At 35.2% G+C, this 25,654-nt stretch overlaps 1 long non-coding RNA gene across 2 annotated transcripts; it reads right to left on the bottom strand.

The window, feature by feature from the left end:
* Nucleotides 1–472: 472 nt before the first annotated feature.
* LOC105374036 (uncharacterized) lies at nucleotides 473–24,894 on the bottom strand. 2 transcript variants are annotated; one of them, XR_924327.3, is made up of 4 exons: nucleotides 24,788–24,894; nucleotides 10,772–10,819; nucleotides 5,230–5,341; nucleotides 473–770 (listed from the first exon to the last, which is right to left on the bottom strand). It is a non-coding gene; the product is annotated as an uncharacterized LOC105374036 (long non-coding RNA). The 2 variants fall into 2 exon arrangements; XR_924326.3 differs by having other exon boundaries at nucleotides 550–770; nucleotides 10,707–10,819.
* Between the last annotated feature and the right edge of the window lie 760 nt (nucleotides 24,895–25,654).

Below are 25,654 nucleotides of genomic sequence, written 5' to 3'. Positions count from 1 at the left end.
AAGTTATTCCATACAAAGTATGTAAAATACTGGAGACATCACTAAAGTAAACATGTTTTTCATAAATATTGAGCAGTTTTGGAAGTAACTTCAGGATATGCTAGACATTCAGCTTTTGACTGAATTTTGACAATATGGATTTATTAGAATTGAGAATTTATTGAATTTATTGATTTGTTGGCATAGCTTACAAACCTGAGCTATTAGGTTTAAATATCACAAGGAGTGCAAGTCCAATAGCACATTCCAGAGAACTTCTTTAGAAACAATCTCTGTGTGATAATGTGTGTGATGATTCACATACACATATACATGCACACACACACGTATACACACGCATGAAGACATATGTATATATAGATAATTTTATACTAAAGTCTACAAAAAGATTTAGACTGTTGCTTTAATTCTGACTTGTTCACTGACTCGTGGTTCATTTTCTAATAGAATATTCAGGAACCTAACAAGACAATTCCAAAGTCAAATTAAAAGTTTATTAAGTAATTTCTCAATTACATTATGTATGAAATATGACTACTGTTCAACAAATAAATTTAAATGTGGTTTTAATTGTAGACCAAGAATATTCTACGCTCTAAGTTAGTATGTTTACTGGCACTATACCAAATAAAGAGTAAAGTTTGGGGGTCTTATTTATAAACCATCACTGGAACTTTCTGGCAAAGATAAAGCGAATGCTGGGTTGAATGAGATACCCATCACCATTGCATGGAGGTTTTTCTTGTCAGCCAAGGTCTTGGTGCAGGGACCTGGGAAAAGAAGGCATAGAAGGTAATCCTGCATATTTGATGCTGGTACTTTAATCATGACACATGGGAAGAGAGTGGGTTCTCAGCCTAGTTAGGATGAGTTCAAGAGAAAGTGGTAGCTGGCAACAGGCAAGGGCATGGGAAGAGTTGAGTGGGATGGGAAGGGGTGTAATGTGTTTGAGAAAGGGGACTCACAGGTCTATAATCTACTTCACTCCTCTCCTTTCTTCCCTACCTTCAGTAAAAGTAGGATTTCCTAAGGCTTCATCTATTTGCCTTTTCTCCGTTGGTTCTTCCTATCACTCTGTGTCTATTAACCTTCTTTATGCCAGTTAATCCTATAAACGTATACATGGTAATATGATAAAATATTCTATAAAATGTATGCATAGAAAGTCCTATCAGACAGCATTTGTTTTAATGTAAATTCAGCCTCTGTAACTATGGTTAAATCAAAAAAAGGAGTGATTTAAATTTGAAATTTCATGGTAAAATGTTTAGAAGATAGAACATTTGAAACTTCTATTTTGGTGGCAGGCTGTCCTGATCAACCACAGAATATTCCTTCAAAGCTATAAGTGAAAGATTTTAAAATATTATAGTACTTAAGAATTACCTGGAAAACTACCCAAACATGCATCATGTAACTATAAAGCAATTAAAACAGAATGCACTGTTAATAAACTCAACAACACCGACGAATCTAAAATACCGGATGTTGAAAGAAGTCAATCAACTACAAAAAGCATATATTATGTATTCCATTTGTATAAAGTTCAAGAAGAGGCAAAACAGTAGTATTTTTCCTCTGGGTGTGTTATTGCCTAGAAAGAGCATGAAAAATCCTTCTAGAGTGATGGAAATTAGCCATCTGTTGATTCTGAATGACAGTTACATGGGTATATTCATATGTAAATATTTATCCAGCTGCACATTTGAGATTTCTGTATTTTATTGTTACATTTAAAATTCAAAAATCACTTGAGGTACTTAGTAAAAATATGGATTCCTGGGCTCACCCATAGATATTTTAATTTAGTAGCCTGAGACAGTCCTAGAAATCTGTATTTTTAAAATAAGTCTTTCAGAGCATTATGAAGTAAATAGTCTATGAATCACATTTTTAAAAACACCGGATAAAAGGTAGACTCTATACCTCCAGTAAGAACCCAGAATCCATCTGGTTTATTGGGTCTTTCTAATTTGATAGCTTGTATCATGATTAATGAGTTTAAACAATTTTAACTGAATTCTCCCTATTGTGAATCAAATCATAATTCTACTTCCAAATTATTTTCATTTAGGTTATACAGAGGAGATAATTTTCTTATGTTATATAATTTTTTAGGCTATCTTCTAATAGCTATCAAAACCCAAGCTAGTAGCACTTACAAGCCCTCCATACTCTGCAATCATCCCTACTTGACTATCTAATGAGAGTCAAGTTTTGAGTTCAAATATAAGGAAAACCATGTAATAAGGCATATTGGGTGACTTTCAAGATGATCTATTTAAAACAACTGGCTTTTTAATTTATTAACTGTAAGCAATGCTGTGTTTCAATATGCAACTGTATTCTATAACTTTTAAAATAAGTTCTATTTGCTTAGAAATTGAATATCTATTTTGTTCCACTAAACAATTATTCCATGAATTCTCACAGGGATGCAATTGTTAAGAAAGAATTCAAATTTAAATACAATTATTGTAGATTTGTATAGAAGCCTACATAGCATATGAATTTAATTTTCTTCACTTTCAATTTGCTTACAGGTAATTCAACTCAAGGTAATATAACCACTCTGCTGAATTCTTTTGTCAAATGTTGAAGGTGTTCAAGGATGGTTATTATGCTAAAGAGGAATTTGAATTTACCGAATGACAGCTAATTTTGTTCTCTTAAATCTTTAATCTGTTGACTTAAATAAACATTATAGGTAAAGAATTCTTTCAAAATGTAATCTTTGCTTGCATGACTTTACTAAGACATACTTTTGTATGCATTGACTTAAGTGGAAATACATTAAATTAAAAGCATAATGCAAATGGTTAGTTGAGAATATAGAATATACTGACGAATTTAATGGCTCTGTTTTTCAAAACATTTAAAAGAGAAGTGAGAGTGAGAGAAAGTGAAAAAAGAGGGCGCAAATACAAGTAATTTTAAAAAGATTTAAATGTATTGAATTTAGTATTGATAGTATCAAACTCATATTAATAGACATATTTAGCAGAATACCATTGAAATATGTGCAGATTAACTTAAGAGCTAAGACTGAAAACTTTTATGGTCACATTAACCCAAGTTCAAGGCCTACATTCACTACTAACTATGAATCTTCGGTCAAGTAACTTTTTAGAAATAATGGTATTTATATTGTAAGTATTAAATCAGTTAATACTTGAAAAACACCAGAGTGCTGGTTACATAGCAATTGCAAAAAGTATATTACTTGCTGACATGGTGATGAGAATGACATTTCTAAGTAATGATTGATGTAGGGCACTAGCTGAGACAGACATATTCTTGTTCAGAATTAGAAGAACCACTAATGCAAAATGCTGCTCCTGAATTTCACTATTTCAGCTTGAAAACATTTAATCAAATCTAATTTAAATATAAATTTATTTCTGTTAAAACCTCTTTTAAAACATAGCAAACAAGGAGTTTTATTTTCTTGTATTTAGCACTGACCTAATATGCTAGTACATACACATAGTTTATAAATGTTTTGGGTATGCTGAAAGACAATTTAATTTTACTAGGAGACTTTAATAATTAGGGTCCAATAGCAAAATTAAACCAAACCAAAACAAAAATAATGTACCCAAACTGAACCAGACTAGAGTAATTAAAATCAAACCAAAGAAAGATGCTACTCTCAGAAGAAATGGCATGCAATTGGATGTGAGGCCATAAAATGTTTAAAACATTCTTAAAAATACCTATGTAATTTTGTAATTTTGACTTTCACACTATTTCTACATGGTAAAGCTAGGAAAATTGGAGCTAATGATATCCCCAAAGAGACAATTCAAAGAAACAATGTAAACATAATGATACACCTCATTGGTTATTTCTGTGCTTAAATTTTTATCAATTCCTCATTTCTGGAAGGCTACTTTAAATAATTAATAACAAGATAATTTATATTTTAGTTATTCCATGACAATATATTTATACCGTCTCACACGAGATTAAGAGAGACTGAGAAACCATTATCTCTCCCTCCCATCCCATATGTCCCCCACTCTGCCCCTATTGCTGATGACTCACACTACCAGTCAACACTGTTAAGAAAGCTCTTTACATTTGCCTAAAATTTTCAAATCCTATTTTCAGGAGCTAGGCATTCTGATATTTATAAAATACTTAAAGAAGATAATTATTGGCATCATAATTATTATTTAACCAGTGGGCTGTGGAGGTACTTCTTCTTTTCACCAGGCTCCTCTATCTCAGAAAGTGACACTGTTCCATCATTTATTACCAGGATTAATCTGGTTTGGCTACAGTTAGGTATATGCACACTTCTTTTCTCACTTCTCCAAACATGTCCTTCCCAAACCCATATACTTGCTCAAACATTCCCATTTTCGAGGGAGGACTTTTTCTAAAATGGAAGATGGTTGAAAAATACTTATTACTGTAGACACTGCTAAATTGCATCAATTTTACAGATGAGGCAACAGGCACAGAGAGGTTAATTAATTATTGGAAAATGACATAATAAGTAGCAGAGCTTAGAATATGCATCCGGGAGTCTCTTAACCACTGCATTCAATATCTTAATTATTTTCACCCTAATTATCAGTATGGTTACTTTTAAATTAAGAGGATTTGATCAGGTGAGCCCAAAGTTTATTTTAGGACAGCGCTGGCCCCTGGAAGACTCGGTCTTTTGGGGCAGAAAACTTTCAGATGTGCAAAGTTAGTGCAAGTTGCCAGCAGCCCTTTTGGTAGATGTTGCCCCAGTTTATTGTTGATAGATCTTTGAAGTCATCACAGAAGTGGATGCCCTTCAAGTCATGTGTTACTCAGAGTAATTCATCTGCCTCATGAAATTGGCAGCTGAAATGGGACACTTGTATTTGGCAGGATTTAGTGGGAAGAGAAACATGGTATACTAACAGTATCAATGACTAAGGTGATAGAAAATTCTAAAACTCTAGTGACGACTCCACTTCTCCAGGGCTTGAGCTGTCCCCACCTGTGCTATCGTTTCAGAGTTTTGTCACACTGGGAAATCAAAACCAGGATTAAATCTTTTATTTTAATAAATATCTTAGCAGACCTTTGGTTAAAGTCTGACTATGTGCCAAGCACCATGCCAACTGGCTTATAAGATACCAGCTAATAACACTTGGAAATTTACTGAATTGCTGTACAACATGTGAGGCAGGAAATGTGCACCTTTGTACCTGCAGGTAATAGAAGGAGGTCAGCTTCAATGCTCACCAAGTATCACTGAGCTTGTTAGCATCAGCCCTATTGAGAACTCTTCCCATGGCCAGTTTCTGGTGTCTGTTCTCCTCTTTCCCTTGGTTTATCCATCATAAAGTTCTGTGTCCTAAAAGCAAGCAAGCAAACAAAAAGCAGTGTAAAAACAAATGGGGGTTGAGGGGAATCTAAAAGGGATTTTAGTGCTCCCTCTCTCATTCTGCCCTATCAAATTATAGGTAAAGAAATTGACACACAAAACACTAAGTTGCTTGACTGAAGTCAGACAGCTAATGCTACAAAAAAATTAAAACCGAAAAAGTCAAATATAAACTGTTGCTTGTTTTAGAGAAGATAGCACAAATTAATCACTAGAATCCAAAGCAAAGTAGATAAATCACAGTACCCTAGAGTTTTAAAACTTAAAATTATTTCAAATATATCCTTCAAATCAAGTAACTGACTCCAGATGTCACAGTTATGTCAGTGGTGTAGCTAGAAGCAAAGGTTCCAATGTTAGCCTTCCTTCAGCTTTTCAAATTCCAGAACATCTCAAACGTTTCCTGCTGCATTCTTTGACTACAAAACTCTTTCTGCTTACATCTGGTTGCGTATAATGTTTCAAGACCCTTTCCTCTTATCAAGAGGGCAGGTGTGTGACAGGAATTGCAGGAGAATTTAGGAATGCGAAAAACTGATCAAGACAGGTGAAACCTCCACCTTAGTAAACAAATTAATGTTTACATGGGTAATCTGACAATAAACATATAAACAAGTAAATAAGCAAGAAAACTGAAAATTGTTGTTACCAAGAAAGGAAATAATCATGCAATGGGTTATGGAGTGAAATTGGGAAAGCCAGTTGGGACAAGGTGGTGAGGGAAGTCTCTCTGCTGTGTGACATTTGAGCTGAAAAGAGAAAATGAGAATGAGGCAGACATGCCTACATACTATGGGAAAAACACTGTGGGCAGAGGCTGAGGAAGAAGTCTGAGTTTTCTCCGTGAAGATAGGGTAGGAGAACTCTCCAGCCAGATAAACAGGCAAATGCGAGGGCCAGGGCTTGAAAGCTTGGATATAGCCAGGAATTGCAAGAACATAAGGTGCAATAGTGATGAACCCTGGGGCTGAAGGGTAGGCAGGGAACAATGAACACCAGCCTTAAGTGCTCTGATAAGGCTTGAGAGGTATGGAGACATAGTGTGTGATAAAATATCTTGTTCTTTTATTTATTCAAAAATGAATTTTATTTGGTTGATCCAGAGATTAAAGCCACCAGGGAACTTATCCTTTTAAGAGTCCCCAGAAGAGTCTTTTCAAAAGGAAAATAATCAAACTTAACTTGTGGTTATTAAGTTTGAAATAAACTTAACTAATTCACATTTTAAAGAAAGTGTGAAATGTGGCAGTTTGCTTAGTTGATAATTATGAAAGTTTTAAATTTTAAATCAGCATTAAAATATTGCATTTATTTTCTATAGTTTATTTCTATAATATCACTCTTTCCTATTTTTTTAAATGAGGAGGTATTTAAGACACTTAAAAAACAAAAATGTCTTCTAATTTATTCCAGAAGATTATCACTATTTCAGCATGTCATTTTGAATGGAGAGACAATCAGAATACAACAGAAAGTCTTTTAACTGCCAGTACTAATGACTATGAATTTTCCAATTTAAGTAACTGCAAAAGGGGAAGCAGATACTTTATACAGTTGTATTATTGTTGTGTGTATTTTTTAAATTAGAGAGATTCACAATGTTTAATTTGCTTTTAAATGCAATGTCAATAATTTTATCAATAAACATTTATTAACCCTTTACAAGATTTAATGTGCTTTCCTGAGTGTCTGGTGGTATTCAGACATGAAAACCACAGGGTTGCATTATAAGAGGGGAAAAGCTAAATACTCTTGAAAAGATGACCAATAAGATAAGATAGCATAGGATAAATTAAAATTGGGGACAAACCACAAATGCCATTGAAGATCAGATCAGGGAGAAGCATTACAAGATAGGTATCAGGGCTGGGGTTCAGATCAAACTTTGAAAAAAGTGAGTTTGAGATGGGGTGGAAAGAAGGGAGAAAGCAGAGGAGGGAGAAATCAATGGGATTAGTTAAATACGGCAAATACTACATGACTGCTCCACTCTAACCCATTTGTCCCTATGCCACAGCAAGCCAAAGGGGAAAAAAATAGATTAAATTAACATCTTTTAAATTCTGTTTCTGTGGCTCTATCCCTCCATCAGAGAACCTGCTGAAATTCCAGCCCCCAAAACTTATGCACTCTATCCCTTATCCTCAGTCTTTCTGGGAGCCCTGAGGAGGTGCGGGGTATGTGCTCTGCTCTGCTATCTTACAGTTCTGTCACTTCTAGTTCTCTTCAAAGCTGCTGCTTTCAGTGGAGGAAGACCTCACCACTGTCCCAGGCACTCTGTTTTCAACGAGAGGTCTAGGGTTCTGCCCAAAGTCCCCACCTCTATTTCCCATGCTTCTCACTCACATTTTGCTGCTAAGATGCTGAATGTCTCAGTACAAAATGCTCACCCTATTCTCTCTGGTGTACACTGCGCAAAGCCACTGGTAAACAGGAAGGATCCCTATCTTCTAGCACTGTGCTGCCCACTTTCCTACATGGGCCCAGAAATAAGACTAACTCCTGATCCAATGTCTTTCTTACGAGGATTTTAGTGAAAAAAAAAAAGAGAGAGAGAGAAACTGATCCTTTCTTTTTCTTAGCAGAATTACTCACCTCAGGAGAGAAATCTATGTATTGCCACACAGATTGATGAAAATGGGACTAGATGACAAAGTTAAAATCATAGTTCTGAAAACCATAGGGGCTCACTGTGAAGAATAATACCTTTCTGTGGATAACTCACTGGAAGAATATTATTTTCTAAATATGATACTAAACAGCAAATTTTCCCTAATTGAAGGAAGAGGTTTCCTCCTCTCAATTTAGCAATTTTTAAGATAGGGCCAGACTGGCTTAGGTGTCTTATGAAGGCAGGCAGGCAGTGCTGAGGCTGTGTTCCAGGAGATGTGAGCCTTGGTCCCAACTCTACCTCTGGACATCTGTTATCTTAGAGGCCATGCTATGACTTTGGATTTCAGGTTTTTTTAATCTGAAAAAAAAAAGTGCTGAGCCTAAATTGTCCTTTTTTCAATTTTTTCTTAATATTCTACAAGCGTACAAATATAGTAAAGGTTACTATGTTCACATTCACTTTGAAAACAGTAACTAAATCTAAATAAGGGCAGTATTTCTACAAGGGACCCTTTAAATTCTGCAAAAGGGGAAGCAGCTAAGTTAACCTTGCTGTAAGCGCTACAATTAAGCACATGCCACAAAGGAATACTAATCTAAAAATGTAGTAGTGAGAGAAACAAAAATGCTTTTAACGTTGTCTTAAAATCAACATCAAACAGCTGCCAGACCTCTCCCTTGTTTATTCTTCTATCTTCTGGAAGAAAAATTCTATTTTTATCAGTGTCAGGGCTCTTCCTTTCAGCAAGACGTCTCAAGAAACTGGAAAGATCATGTGACTTCTGAAATACAGGAAGACCCTCAGTCTTTACTGAATTATGATGGCTGCTGCTACCCCCATTTTCTGCATCTGGTAGAACTCGGCTTCTGAGCTAGTCATGGGGCACTGGCATACCCAGGGCCAGCCTCTCATGCGCAGCATGCTTCCATTGTCTCTGAGGTCTGGCCTTCTCCACAGGGCATTACTGCAGAGTAGGTATCAAGTGACCAAGAACATCAGGGTCTGGTGATTTTTGTTTCTTCCTACTTTTGAAGAATTATCTTCCTTTTCTTTCTCTATTCCCATATCTTCAATTTGTTGTGGCATTTACTGAACACAATAAGAAACATTATCTTCAGGAAACCTCTGATTTAGCTCCTGTAAAATTACCTGTGGCAATTAATAGGTAGGCTTGGCCACTCAATTTAGTGGGAGGAGAGGAAATTAAGGAAAAACTATATGCAAATGAATATCCCAATAGATTATCATGCTTAACACCTGCTGGCTTAAGAGTTAAGGTAAGAGATTAATTTAACAAGCCTTAAATGAAGATGAATATTAGCACTAGCTAATATTGACTTACTGGGTAAGTCAAATTAGGTTAATGGGTGCTATTTTGTTAGTTTTTAAATTGGCTCTAAGTCAGGTAGATAATTCCCTCTAGTTTATATTGCCAAAAATAGGAAGAAAAACAAAATAAAAACCTTCAGGTCTCAGTGAAGATAATTACACAAATACCTTAGTTCGAAGTCACAAACATGAATTTCTGAACAATTATAGTAAACTGCCAAGAGGTTTTTTGTTTTTGTTTTTGTTTTAATCCAAGTACATTTCCCTCTCCATATAACTGACACTGCTTCCATACTTCAGTTTTAGATTGTCTTGCTGCTGTGGTTCAAATGTGTACCCCAAAATTCATGTGTTGGAAACTTAATCCTAAATGCAACAATGAGTGGAGGTGGGACCTAATGGGAGATGTTTAGGGGATGAGGACTCCATCCTCATGAATGGAATAATGTTGCTATTAAAAGGGCTTGTGGAGCGGGTTCTGTCTTCCTTGACCTTTCATCTTCCACCTTCCACCATGTCAGAATGCAGTAAGAAAGTCTACAACAAATGACAACACCTTTCTCTTCGATTTCCCAGCCTTTAGAACTGTGAGAAAATAAATTGCTGCTCTTTGTAAATTACTCAGTCTCAGGTATTCTGCTATAGCAGTACAAAACAGACTAAGACACTTCCTCAGAAAGTGTCTTGCCTTGGCTGGCAATGCATTAAGAAGGTCATTGCTGAATGTTGTGTCAACCATTGCTTCCGGGATGCTGATGCCTCATGGTGCCTCCTGCCTCCCTTTTCAATTTTCATGATTATCTGAGTTCTTGCTTCTTTCATTCTAGACTACTTAGTGTGTCCTTTAAGATTTGTAATATTTTGTTTTAGCCCTGTCTGAAAGTTTCTGTTTTTGACTCATACGTATTTCTATTCTCTGCTCACAGGCCCTGATGCTAACAGTGCCTTCCCTCATTCCTAACCCAGTTTTCCACCTACACACATGGCACAAAATGGACTTGAGTCCATGTTGACAGAGGTGCATTATCTCATAAACATTGTACTCACGCAGTTTCAAAGAAATGTTTTTATTCAGTGTTCAGCACATACTAAACTAATAATAATGTGAGATGTACAGCTTACAAAGTGAATGGATTATCTGGACAACTTAATGACTCAGATTTTCTCTAAGAAATATTTTCCACTTTCCTGTGTACCTGTCAACACATGTTCAAAAAACAGGGGTAAGATCAGCTTTGTTCTTCACAGAAAAATAATTTTATGAACTCTTTGATGATTATACAATTGATAACTCTGGAACATTAGAAGAAACATATAAAGGCAGCACTATTATTTTGTTAATGTGTGTCACTTTAGTTACAATGTGGCACTAGGTATACTGCTGTCACCTACCTAGAAAGCTCCAGAGAAGAAAAAGAACTCCCTAAAGAGAAGCATTTCCATCAATAGACACTTACAATTTTCTTATGAAGGACACTTGTCTTATGTATCACACAGTGGATCACCTTGGGAGAGAAAGGAACAACAGATAAATGAAATAATTCACCTGCTTCTGTATCCTTCATCTACTAATCACAAAAAACATAATTAACAATAACTATCTGCCCTATAATAGTATCATGGCTGGGCGTGGAGGCTCGCACCTATAATCCCAGTACTTTGAGAGGCTGAGGCAAGAGGATTGCTTGAGGCAAGAGTTTGAGACCAATCTGAATGACATAGTAAGATCCCATCTGTACCAAAAATACTAATATCAATAATAATAATAATTTAAAAATAAATAAAAAATAAATTTTATAAAAGTAATATAATGGAGATTGCACAAAATGCTGAATCAGACAACTACGTTGTTAGCCCTCCAAACCCTCCTGGGTTTCCTGTTCTTTCTGTAGGATAAGTGTCTATATGTTAACAACTTCCTTCATAAGGTTGATATAAGAGTTAAATGGCATGATGGATGCAAATGTATAATATTGTACTCAAGTGCACAGAGGGGGTATCATCAATTTTAATTAGTTTTCCTTATCCCAATTTTTCTTCTTGGGAATATATGTAATGTATCATCTATCATAAGACTCCTCATCCAGAAACAATAAATAAAAGAGGTTTAACACAACACCTGTACGAAGGCTGGGACAGGAAATCTGAGTAAAAATATTGCAGACATCTTTTCTTAGTTTAGATTTTATATTGACCTACTTCAAAATTCAGTCTTTGTGGTGTACCATTTTGTGGGTTGCGAGAGAGTTGCGTGTCTACCAACACAATACAGAAATTTTGTGCTGTTTCTTTGTAGTCAGCCCCTCATCACAGTTTCAACCTCTGCAACCACTATTTTGTTCTCTGTCCCAGTGGTTTTATCTTTTATAAATGTCACATAAATTGAATTATACAGAATTTAGACTTTCAGTTCTGACAACTTTTACTTACTAAAAAGAAACTGAGATTAAGTTATGTTGTCGTTATATGCATCAACAGTTGATTTCTTTTATTGTGTTTTATGGCTTTCACCACAGTTTATTTCTCATTCACTTGCTGAAAGATATTTGTGTTGTTTCCAGTTTTCCATGATTTTGAATAAAGCTGCTGTAAACATTCACTTGTAGGATTTTTGGTGAACATAAGTTCTCATTTCTTTTGGGTAAATACCTATGAATAGAATTGCTGGGTGATAAAAGTGTACATGAGAAAAACTGCCATACTGTTTTCTAAAGTGGCTGTAACATTTTGAATGTTCACCAGAAATGTACAAGAAGAGTTCAAGTTATTTTATATCTTTGTCAACATATTGTCACACTTTTTCCCCCTTGACATTCTAATAGATATGTAATAGTATCTCATTGTAGCATTAATATGAATTTCACTAATAAATAGCGATATTGTACATATTTTCATGTGCTTAATTGCCACGTAATTATGTCATCTGATAAAGTGTATATCCAAATCTTTTGCCCATTTAAAAATTGTGTTGTTTTTTGTTTTATTTTTGAGTTTTGAGAACTATTTACATATTCTTGAAAAATTCTTTGTCAGATACGTGATTTACAAATATATTCTCCCAGTTTATGATGTGTCTTCTCATTCTTTTAATAGTGTCTTTTGTAGAGAAAAGCCTTCTACTTTCAGTACAGTTCAATTTATCTTTTTAAAATTTTAGTGATTATGCCTTTGGTGTAGCACTGTATTAGTAAGAGTTCTCCAGAGAAAGAGAACCAAGAGTAGGTGCACACAAGGAGAAGATTTACTTTAAAAATTAAATCATGTGATAATTGAGGCCTGGCAAGTCCAAACTCTGCAGAGAAGGCAGGCAGTTTGAAGACCCAGGGAACAGATAAAGTTGTGATTCAAGTTTGAAGGCCATCAAACTGGAGACCCAAGTGAGAGCTAATATTGCAGTTCAATTCTGAAGGCCATCTGCATCTGCTGGCAAATCTACTCCCTATTTGGAGGAGGTCAGTATTCTATCAATACTTCCAACTGATTCAAGAGGCTAACTCACATTATAGAGGGCAAACTGTTTTACTCAAAGTTCACCGATTTAAATGCCATCCAAAAATACCTTCACAGAAACATCCAGTATCATGTTTGACCAAATATTTGGACACTGGCCAAGCCATGTTGACACATAAAATGAACCGTTGCAAGCATCTAAGAACTCTTTGCAAAACAAAAGAACATGATAATTTGTTTATATTTTCTTACAAAAGTTTTATTTATAGTTTTAGTTTCAGTAAAAGCTCAATTTAAAAACTTTGTGAAAAAATATTTTAAATAACAAAATCCAAAAAATATATACAAGATTTTTATGGCAAAAATTATAAACTGCATTAGGAAACAGTAAAGAAAGCCTTAATAAATATTTATAAAAAGCAAGAGTTGATATAGTAAAAATATAAATTCTCCACAAATTAATCTATGCAATTATTCTAACTTTAACAGGGTTTTATGTTAATTTATTTGCTTGCTCTTTTTAAATGAAACTTAAGCTGATTCTACATCTTACATTAATGTATAAAAGAAACAGACTAGCTAAGATTATTATGTAGAAACAACTTTCTAGATAGCAAGACTAATGCTAAAGCTTTATTTAGGCCGTCTAGTATTGATTCAGAAGGAAACAAGTTAACCAATAAGATAAAACAGAAAACACAGCAATAAAACTATTTGAACACAGATATAATAAGAATGGCATCAAAAATGAGTGGGAGGGGAGGTAGAGCAAAACTGCTAAATAAGAAGTCCCACTGATCACTGCCCCACCTCCTGCAAAGACATCAAGTTAACAACAGCTTCATAACCAAGTTAAGGGCCCGGGCGCGGTGGCTCACGCCTGTAATCTCAGCACTTTGGGAGGTCGAAGCGGGCGGATCACGAGGTCAGGAGATGGAGACCATCCTGGCTAACACAGTGAAACCCTGTCTCTACTAAAAATACAAAAAATTAGCTGGGCGTGGTGGTGGGTGCCTGTAGTCCCAGCTACTCAGGAGGCTGAGGCAGGAGAATGGCGTGAACCAGGGAGGTGGAGCTTGCAGTGAGCCGAGCTGGCGCCACTGCACGCCAGCCTGGGCGACAGTGCGAGACTCGAGCTCAAAATGAAAAAAAAACAAAAAACAGAACCAAGTTAAAAACACCTTCATCAGAACCAAAAATCAGGTGAGCACCCATAGTAGTTGGTTTTAACTCCATATCACTGAAAGAGGCACTGAAGAGATAGAAAAAACAGGCCTAAATCATAGATGCCATCTCCCCCTACCTGTAGCAACAGCTGAGTGGTGCAGAGAGCAGCTCTAGGTGCTGGGGGAGAGAGAACACAGTAATTGTGAGGCATTGAACTCATTGTTGTCCTGTTAGAGCGGAAAGGAAAACTCAGCTGATGCCTGCCCAGACAGACCAAACTCAGCTGATGATTATCCACGGAGGAAGCATTTAAACCAGCCATAATCAGAGGGGAATCACAGATCCCAATAATCCAAACTTGAGAGCCCACAAACCGCGCCACCAGGGCCCAAAGTGCTCTGTGCCCCTAGATAAACTTGAAAGGCAATCTAAGCCATAAGGACTGCACTCGTAGTGCTGAACTAGTCCCAGAGACAGTGCACTGTGGGGGCATGTGACATACTGAGACACCAGCTGGTGCAGCCAAGGTAGTGCTGGCTGTGTTGTCAGCACTACCTTGCTCTACTAGAGTTAGAGGAGGTGAAACCGTCTCCTCTAACTCCAGGCTATAAAGCTTAGAGCTCTAAGAGTCCCCTTGATTCTGCTTGAGGAGAGGAGAGAGAAGAGTAGGGAGAACTTTGTCTTTCATCTAGAATTCCAGCTCAGCCACAGCAGGATAGGGCATTGGCTAGAGTCATGAGGAAACCTTTCCAGGCCCTACCTCCCCCATGACATCTCTAGGCATACCCTGTACCAGAAGGGAAGCCACTGCCTTGAAGAAAAAGACCCAGTTCTGGCAGCATTCATCACCTGCTAACTGAAGAACCGTTGGGCCCTGAATAACCAGCAGTGATATTCAGGTACTACATTGAGGGACTTGGTGAGCCACTGAGACTTGATGGCTTCAGGTGAGATTCAGCACATTACCAGCTGTGGTGGGTATGGGTAAAACTACTGCTTGAGAAAAGCAGAGAAAAAAGTAAAAGGATTTTGTCTTGCCCTTTAGGTACCAACACTGCCACAGAGGGGTAGAGAACCAAATGGCTCTTAGGGTCCCCAATTCCAGGACTTGTCTCTTGGATCGCATTTCTGAACCTGCCCTGCGACAGAGGGAAACCCACTACCCTAATGGGTGAGTCTCAGGCCAGGCAGAATTCACCACAAGCTGACTTAAAAGACCTTGGGCCTTAAGAGAATGTCAATGGTAGTCTGGCAGCACTCCTTGTGGCCAGTGGTGGTGGTGACTATGGGATGAGGCTTCTCTGTCTTTGGAAAGGGGAAGGAAGAGTGGGAAGGAGTGTGTCTTATGGTTTGAATGCCGGCTCAGCTGCAATACAATAGAATACCAGGTAGACTTCTAAGGTTTTGACTATAGTCCCTGACTCCTAGATGGCACTTTTGGACCCATATGGAACCTGGGGGACTTCACTGCCCTGAAGGGAAGGAAACAGATAGGGCTGACATTACCCCAAGGCCTTGAGCACATATAGGAAGTATAGGGTATGGTTATAGTAGGCCTTGGGTGAGACCCAGCACTATACTGACTTCAGGTCTGACCCCGTGCAGCCATAGTGGTGGTAGCCACAGTGGTACTTGTATCACTCCATTACCAGCTTTAGATGGTTCAGAACAAAGAGAGAGAGACTCTGTAAGTTTGGGAGAAAGTAAGGGAAGAGAACAAGAGTCTCTTCTTGATAATCCAGATAATTCTCTTGTATCTTGTCCAAGACCATCAAGATGGTACCTCTATGAGTCTACAAGAACCACAGCATTACTAGGCTTGTGGTTCTCCCTGAAGCAGAAACAGCTTAAATCACATCACCGAAATCTGTTCAAATATCCAGGAAGGACAGCTACAAATAAGCCTAGACAGTGAAGACTACAATAAATAACTAGCTTTTTAATGCCCACATACCAAAGAACATCTATTATTATCAGCACCATCTAGGAAAACATGATCTCACCAAATGAACTAAATAAGGCACCAGGGACTAATCCTGGAGAAACAGAGATATGTGACCCTTAAGACACAGAATTCAAAATAGCTGTGTTGAGGAAACCAAAAGAATTTCGAGATAACACAGAGAAGGAATTTAGAGTTCCATAAGATAAACTTAACAAAGAGATTCAAATAACTTAAAAGAATCAAGCAGAAATCCTGGAGCTGAAAAAAGCAATGGGCATACTGAAGCATGCATCAGGTCCTTTAATAACAGAATGGATCAAGCAGAAGAAAGAATTAGTGAGATTGAAGACAGGCTATTTGAAAATACACAGTCAGAGGAAACAAAAGAAAAAATAATTTAAAAGATGAAGCATGCCTACAGGATCTAGAAAATAGCCCCTAATGGGGAAATCTAAGAGTTTTTGACCTTAAAGGGGAGGTAGAGAAAGAGATGGGTGTAGAAAATTTATTCAAAAGGTTTATAGAGAACTTCCCAAATGTAGAGAAATATATCAATATCCAAGTACAAGAAGGTTATAGAACACCAAGCAAATTTAACTCAAATAAGACTTCTTCAAGGCATTTAATAATAAAAAAGAAAACTCCCAAAGGCCAAGTATAAAGAAAGGATCCTAAAAGCAGCAAGATAAAAGAAGCAAATGACATACATTGAAGCTCCAATACATCTGGCTGCAGACTTCTCAGTGGAAACCTTATAGGCCAGGAGAGACTGTCATGACATATTTAAAGTGCTGAAGGAAAAAAAAAAACTATTATCCTAGAATAGTATATTCAGCAAAGATAGTCTTCAAACATGAAGGAGAAATAAAGACTTTCCCAGACAAACAAAAGCTGAGGGATTTTATCAGTACCAAACCCATCCTACAAGAAATGCTAAAGGGAGTACTTCAATCAGAAAGAAAAGAACATTAATGAGCAATAAACAATCACCTGAAGGCACAAAACTTACTGTTAGTAGTAAGTAGACAGAAAAACACAGAATTAAGTAGAAAGACTAAACAATGAATCAACCAAAAATAATAACTACAACAACATTTCAGGACATAATCAGTACAATAAGATATAAATAGAAACAACAAAAAGTTAAAAAGGGGAGGCACAAAGTTAAGCCAAGTTTTTATTAGTTTTCTTCTCGCTTGTTTGTTTCTTTATGCAAATAGTCTTAAGTTGTTATCAGGTTAAAATAATGAGTTATAAGATAGTATTTGCAAGCCTCATGATAACTTCAAGAAACATACAATGAATACACAAAAAATAAAAAGCAAAAACTAAATCATATCACCATAGAAAATCATCTTCAATAGAGAAAGAGAGAAATGAAAGAAAGAAGGAAGAGAAGGCCATAGAACAACCAGAAAACAAATAACAAAATGGCAGAAGTACATCCTTACTTGTCAACAATAACATTGAATGTAAATGGACCAAACTCTCAAATCAAAAGACGTAGACTGACTGAATGGATAAAAAAATAAGACCCATTAATCTGTTGCCTAGAAGAACACACTTCACCCATAAAGACACACAAAGACTGAAATTAAAATGATAGAGAAAAATATTCCATGTCAATAGAAGCCAAAAAACAAAAAATAAAAAGCAGGAGTCAGTATACTTATATCTGACAAAATAGATTTCAGGACAAAAACTATAAGAAGAGACAACCAAGGTCACTATATAATGATAAAGGGGTCACTTCAACAAGAGGATATAACAATTTTAAATATATATGCACCCAATACAGGAGTACCCAGATATATAAAGGATATATTAGAGCTAAAGAGAGATAAGCCTAATACAATTATAGCTGGAGACTTCAACACCCCACTTTCAACATTGGACAGATCTTTCAGGCAGAAAATCAACAAAGAAACATTAGACTTAATCTGCGCTATAATGACCGAATGGATTTTCGGTTTATTTACAGAACATTTCATCCAAGAACTACATTCCTTTCCTCAGCACGTGAATCATTCTCAAGGAAATACCATATATTAGATCATAAAGCAAGTCCTAAAACTTTCAAAACAATTGAAATATCATCAAAAAGTTGAAATATTATCTTCAATTATGTTGAAGATTATCAAGCACCTTTTCTGACCACAATGGAATAACCCTAGAAATTAATAACAAGGGGAATTTTGGAAACTGTATAAATACATGGAAATTAAACAATATGCTCCTGAATGACCAGTAGGTCAATGAAGAAATTAAAAAGGAAACAGAAAAATTTCTTGAAACAAATAGTATTGAAAACAATATACCCAAACCTATAAGCTACATTAAAAGCAGTACTCAGAGGAAAGTTTATAAGTGCCTACATCACATGAAAGGAAAAACTTATAATAAATAATCTATTGATGAATCTTAAAGAACTAGAAAATCAAGAGCAAACCAAACTCAAAACTAGTAAAAGATAAATAATAAAGATCAGAGCAGAAATATATGACACTGAAATAAAAAAAGCCATAAAAAGATCAGAGAAACGAAAAGTTGTTTTTTGCAAAAAAAAGAAAATTGTAAAAAAAAAATTTTGTAAAAAAAAACAAAATTGACAAACCTTTAGCCAGATTAACTAAGGAAAAAAGAGAGAAGATCCAAATAAATAAAATTAGAAATGAAAAAGGAGACATTACAACTGATACTGCAGAAATTCAAAGGATCATTTGTGGCTACTATGAGCAGCCATATGCCAATACATTGGAAAATCTAGAAGAAATGGTCAAATTCCTAGACACGTAAACTTCCAAGATTGAAAAAGGAAGAAATCCAAAACCTGAGTAGACCAATCACAAGTAATGAGATTGAAGCCACAATAAAAAGTCTTTCATTAAAGAAAAGCCCGGGGCCTGATGGCTTCACTGCTGAATTCTACCAAACGTTAAAGAACTAATATCAAGTCTCCTCAAACTACTCCAGAAAATAGAGGAGAGGTGAATACTTCCAAACTTATTCTACAAGGCCAGTATTACCCTGATACCAAAACCAGACAAAGACACATCAAATGTGTAGACAGGCCAATATCTCAACTTTTTTTTTTTTTTTTTGAAATGGAGTCTAGCTCTTGTCACCCAGGCTGGAGTGCAATGGAGTGATCTAGGCTCATGGCAACCTCCTCCTCCTAGGTGCAAGCAATTCTCCTGCCTCAGCCTCACAAGTAGCTGGGATTACAGGCATCTGCCACCATGCCTGGCTAATTCTTGTATTTTTAGTAGAGACAGGGTTTCACCATGTTGGCCAGGCTGGACTTACACTCCTGACCTCAGGTGATCCACCTGCCTCAGCCTCCTAAAGTGCTGGGATTATAGGTGTGAGCCATCTTGCCTGACCCTCTGATGAATATTGATACAAAAAGCCTCAACAAAATATTAGCAACCTGAATTTAACAATACATTAGAAAGATTATTCATTGCGAGCAAGTGGGATTTATCCCTGGGATGCATGGATGGTTCAACATACACAAACCAATTAATATGATACATTATATTATATCAGCAGAATTAAGAATAAAAACTAAATGATCATTTCAATTGATGCTGAAAAAGCATTTGATTAAATTCAACATTCGTTATTATTAAAAATAACTAAAAAAATGAGTATAGAAGGAATACAACTTAACATAATAAAAGCAAGCCATATATGACAGACCCACAAAGTCTATATAATACAGGTAGTATTATACTGAATGGGGAAAAACTGAAAGCATTTTATCTGCAATCTGGAGCATGACAAGGATATCCACTGTCACCGCTGTTATTCAATATAGTACTGGAAGTCCTAGCTAGAACAATCAGACAAGAGAGAGAAATAAAGGGAAGCAAATTAGAAAGAAAGAAGTCAAATTATCCTTGTTTGCTAATAATATGATCTATATTTGGAAAAAACCTAATGACTATACAAGAAACCTATTAAAACTTATAAACAAATTCAGTAAAGTTGCAGGATACAAAATCAGCTTACTGAAATCAGTAGCATTTTTATATGCCAACAGTGAACAATTTGAAAAAGAAATCAAAAAAGAAATCTTATTTACAATAGCCACACGTGAGGTTAAATACCTAGGAAATATCCAAAGAAGTGAAAGAGCTCTATAATGAAAACTATAAAACACTGATGAAAATTGATGAGGACACGAAAATATGAATAAAAAATTCCATGCTCATGAATTGGCAGAATCAATATTGTTAAAATGTTCATACCACTCAAAGCAATCTACAGTTTCAATGCAGTCCTTATCAAAATACCAATAACATTCTTCACAGAAATAGAAAAAACAATCCTAAAATCTACACAGAACCACAAAAGGCCCAGAATAGCCAAACACATCCTAAGCAAAAAGAACAAAACTGGAGGAATCACTTTACCTGACTTCAAGTTATACTACAGAGGTATAGTAACCATAGCAGCATGGTACTGACATAAAAAGAGACACATAGACCAGTGGAACAGAATACAGAACACAGAAACAAATCTACACAACTACAGAGAACTTATTTTAACAAAGGTGCCCAGAACATACACTGAGGAAAATACAGTCTTTTCAATAAATGGTGCTGGAAAAACTGGATATCCACATGCAAAAGAATGAAACTAGACCCCTATCTCTTGCCATGTGCAAAAATAAAGTCAAAATAGATTAAAGACTTACATCTAACAACTCAAACTATGCAACTATTACAAGAAAGCATTGGGGAAAACCTCCAAGACATTGTTTTGGGCAAAAATTTCTTGAAGCGACAACCCACAGAATGAGAGAAAATATTTACAAACTATCCTTCTGACAAGGGATTAATAATCAATATATAAAGAGCTCAAACAACTCCATAGGAAAAAATCTAATAATCTGATCCAAAAAAAGGCAAAATATTTGAATAAACATTTCTCAAAAGAAGACATACAAATGGCAAATCAGGCACATGAAAAGGTGCTCAACATCATTGATCATCAGAGAAATGCAAATAAAAACAACAATGAGATATTATCTCACCCCCATTTAAATGGCTTATATCGAAAAGACAGGCAATAACAAATGCTGGAGAAGATGTGGAGAAAAGGGAAAGTTGTACACTGTTGGCAGGAATGTAAATTAATATGACCACTATGGAGAACAGTTTGGAGGTTCCTCAAAAAAACTAAAAATTGAGCTACCATATGATCTAGCAATCCCACTACTGGGTATATACCCCAAAGAAAGGAATCAGTATATGGAAGAAATATCTGCACTCCTGTTTGTTGCAGCACTGTTTACAACAGCTAAGGTTTGGAAACACCCTAAGTGTCCGTCAACAGATCAATGGATAAAGGTAATGATGGTCCCATAAGGAAAGTATGTGAATATGGCTCTTGCAAAGGATTAACTATTGTAATTTTAGCTTATGCTCTGTATTCTGTTTTCTATGGAATTATTTAAGCCCTTTTAGTGACCTTTGTCCTGGCTCATTTAAAACTAAAATGTAGCATATATTGTATAAAATGGAAATATCATTATTGCTTCATTAGGGAAAACTGTACATTGGCATTGAAAGAAGGATAAAAGCAAGCAGTTTTATCAGGCAATTGTAAAACGCCAAAAACATAGATTTGTCTTTGATATGTAACACACTAAATGTATTTTGTATAGCATCTGGTTTAAAAGGTGCCTTACTAAGTTTACCATTGCTTGCTTTGTTCTATATACAGATTATATCCAATGTATCATATTGAAGTAAATAACCTTATTTTAGTAAAAAACAAAAACAAAAACAAAAACAAAAAAACAAGAAAGAAAATGTGGTACATACACCCAGTGTGGTACTAGTCAGCCATAAAAAAGAATGAGATCCCATCATTTGCAACAACATGAATGGCACTGGAGATCATTAGTTAAGTGAAATAAACCAGATACAGAAAGACAAACATCAAATGTTCTCACTTACTTGTGGAATCTAAAAATCAAATCAATTGATCTCATGGACATAGAGAGTAAAAGGATACTTACCAGAGGCTGAGAAATATGGTGGGGGGATGAGAGAGGAGGTGGGGATGGTTAATGGGTCCAAAAAAATTAGGAAGAATGAATAAGACCTACTATATGATAGCACAATAAGAACACTATAGTCAATAATAACTTAATTGTATATTTTTAAATAAAGAATGTAATTGGATTTTTTGTAATTCAAAAGATAAATGCCTGAGGGGATGGATACCCCGTTCTCCATGATGTGTTTACTTCACATTACATGCCTATACTAGAACATCTCATGTACCCCATAAATATTTATACCTACTATATACCCACAAAAATTAAAAAAATATTCAGTAGGAAAAGAATGAACTATTCAATGTATGATTCTAGGACAGCTGGTTATCCACATGGACATGGAATTAAATGAAGTTGGATCGCTTGCTCATAAAGTATTTAAATGTTAAGTCTGTGAAAATTAAAGACCTAAATCTAAGAGGCAAAATTTAAAGCTTTTAAAAGAGAATTAGGAGCATATTTTAGTAAAGTCAGAGAATAAAAGGATTTCTTAAATAAGTTACAGAGAGCACATACTGCAAAGGAAAAGACTGATAAATAATATTAGGATAAAGATTCATTATGAAAATTCTGTGGGAAACACACACACACGTGCATAAAGACACTATTAAAAGTGAAAAGGTAGGCCACAAACTGGAAGAAGATATTTGTAAGTTGTATAACAAAGGATTAATATAAGAATATATGTAAAACTTCTATAAACCAATTTTTTTAAAAGACAAGCAAAACAATTTTAAAAATGGCAAAACATACAAATAAGCAACTCACAGATGAGGAAACCCAAATGTCCAGAAAGTAGAATAAAATATGCCTAGCGTCATCAGAAAAATGCCAGTGTAAACCACATTTTCAAATATTTCATTTACATTAGACTGGCATAAATAACATAATCGTGATAACAAATTTTAGGCAATTATGTGGTACACATGAGGTCTTTATTTACAATTCAAAACTCAAAAACAATCTAATAACTGATTGTTTTTCATTATTCACTTTGCAGTAAGATCTAACTTGACTTAACCTTATTTGTAAGCAAAATCTGATCCTAACTGATGTTAAGATATTTATATTTTTAATCCTACTTGTGATTATTTGTACCTTTCATTGCAAAAATACTAACACTGTATTGGATGCTGCTGCAGTGCCTGTTAGATTGTTACATGATATATGGGGATAACTATCATATTACCTTCCTGAAACCTACACATTATAAATTCTAAAAAATAGCTGGTGCTAGAGTTCTGCACCAGAGATTGAAGGCTTGTTCAACAATTTGGCACCATTTAGGAAAGACTAATAAAAAGTGTGTATCTCTTGAAGCAATTCCATTCTTAGAAATTCTAGTATATGCTTGTTAAGATACATGGACAAGGATGTTCATAGCAGCACTGTTTATAACCACAAACAACTGGAGACAACCCACTGTTCATCACCAGGAGAATGCCCAAAAATATGTAAAAATTTTATACTGTTAAAAATGATCAAATGCTTGCCACAAATTGTCACATGAATGGGTTTTATAAATAAATACAAAAGAGAAAAAGCAAGTAGCAAATCAACATCTAATGTTTTATACCATTTATTTAAAGCTTAAAATATGCAAAATAATATTTAAAATCCTTATTTTTAAGGATACAAGCTATGATGGTTAATTTTGTGTGTCAAATTGACTAGATTATGGACACCAGTTGTTTGGTCAAACACAGTCTAGATGTTGTTATAAAGGTATTTTTAAGATATGATCAACATTTATAATCAATTGACTTTAAATAAACCAGATTTCCCTAAATAATGTGGCTGTGTCTTTTCTAGTCATTTGAGACCTTAAGAGCAAAGACTTAGGTTTCCCAAAGAGAAAGGATTTCTGCCTCCAGGCTGCAACATAGAAATTCTGTCTGAGTTTTCAGCCTTTAGACTCAAGGCTGAAATATCAACTTTTATCTGAATCCCCAGCCTGTCAGCCTAACCTATGTATTCTGGACTTGCTAGCTCCCATAATCATGCAAGACAATTCCTCATTTCCTTAAAATCTCTCTTTCTTTTCATGTATGTGTGTGTGTGTGTGTGTGTGTATATGTGTGTGTGTGTGTATATATATATAAAACAAATAGGGGACACATGTATATAACCAATAGGGGACTGTGTGTGTGTGTATATATATATATGTATCTCCTATTGGTTCTGTTTTTATCTATGAACTCGAATGCAAATGTACATGTAATAAAATTAGAAAGAGATTTATGGAAATGATAAGAAACAAGATCATGATTTCATGTTAGGAAAGGAGGTACATATGTTCTGGAAGGGATACACTATGGGTTTAAAATCTAATGGTAATTTATTTCTTAAGCCATGTGGTAACATTATAGTATTCATTCTTCCTATCTGTGTGTCTAAGCATTTTATTACAAATTTTTAAAAAATTTAAAAGATAAGGCCAACAAAAGATATTTGAAGATAATAATTATGGGAAAGAAAACTTAATTGTGTATCTGAAGTAAAAATTTCCCAAGTGAATTTTAAGAATATTGACTTATAGTAGAGACTTAATGAAAGCATTTAATACCAAGAGTTTATAACCTAGATTTTTCAAATTATTTATATTACCATGATAAGGAAAGGTGACTCAGTAAGATAATTTTCTGATGCTTGTTCTGTCACTTATATTTACTCAGATAATGATAGTAATATTAATACAGCAGCCTAAACTCCTAATGGCCAACAACCTGTAGTTCTGCTCGTCCAACAGTGCTCAAAAGATCAAAGTAGTGCTTTGCTGGTGTGGCTAAAATCTAGACTAGCTTTAGCCAAATAGCGAGCCAGAACTAGTGCTATTACCTTTTTAACTCTTGATTATCTGGTTGATGTCAATGCCAATCTCTATAAACTTCTGAAAGGTACGGAGTCTTCGAATATCTATCTGGTTGTTTAGAGAATACTCAGTACATGAAAAGGATTCGTAATGAAGATTAAAGTTGATAGTTCACAATTTTTTTTATATTTGTCATATCTTTCCACTGTCTCTTTCACTCTCTAGGAAAAGATTGAATGGAAATTAATACAAGTGGGATGAAAGAATGGCATCTGTTTACATTTGGATAGCCACATCAGAATTTGCTTGAATAATATTTCTAGGGTTAAAAAAAGTTTATAAATTATTCCTTTAGGTTCTCAATTACTTATTCTCAAATGGAAGTATGTGCTTTTCTGTTGAACATTCCCGAATGTTGAGTTTATCTATGATAAATTTTTATATTTGAGGTTTCATTTTGACGCTAAACTTAAAATATTAATATGAGTATATATTTATCAAACACTGTATATCCAAGTACTACACCACAATTTTTCTGCCCATATTTGGGATTGCTTTTAAAAAGTAATCATCACCACATGAAATATTGTCACCACATGAAAGGTGCATGAGCTCACAGCACACCATAAAAATCAAATATTTTACAGGTAGTCTGAAGAGAGAAAAATGTGGTAGGAAGATTGTGTTTTAATGCAAGACAGAATCACATCAATACTGCAAACTGAAAAGTTAAATCTATACTAGAGAAAAACGTCCTCTTTTTTGCAGGTGGTGGAAATGTTAACATGAAACAAAAACATTTTGTTTTCCAAATTGCGTAAGTAATCAAAATTGATGTATTTTTAATGCACATTTTAATAATGTAGCAGTGCTAACTTTACTTTCATGTGAAC

This window comes from Homo sapiens, chromosome 3 (assembly GCF_000001405.40).
Source record: "Homo sapiens chromosome 3, GRCh38.p14 Primary Assembly".
NCBI lineage: Eukaryota > Metazoa > Chordata > Mammalia > Primates > Hominidae > Homo > Homo sapiens.
The sequence above is the reverse complement of the archived record's forward strand: the minus strand, read 5'-3'. Positions and strand labels throughout refer to the sequence as shown.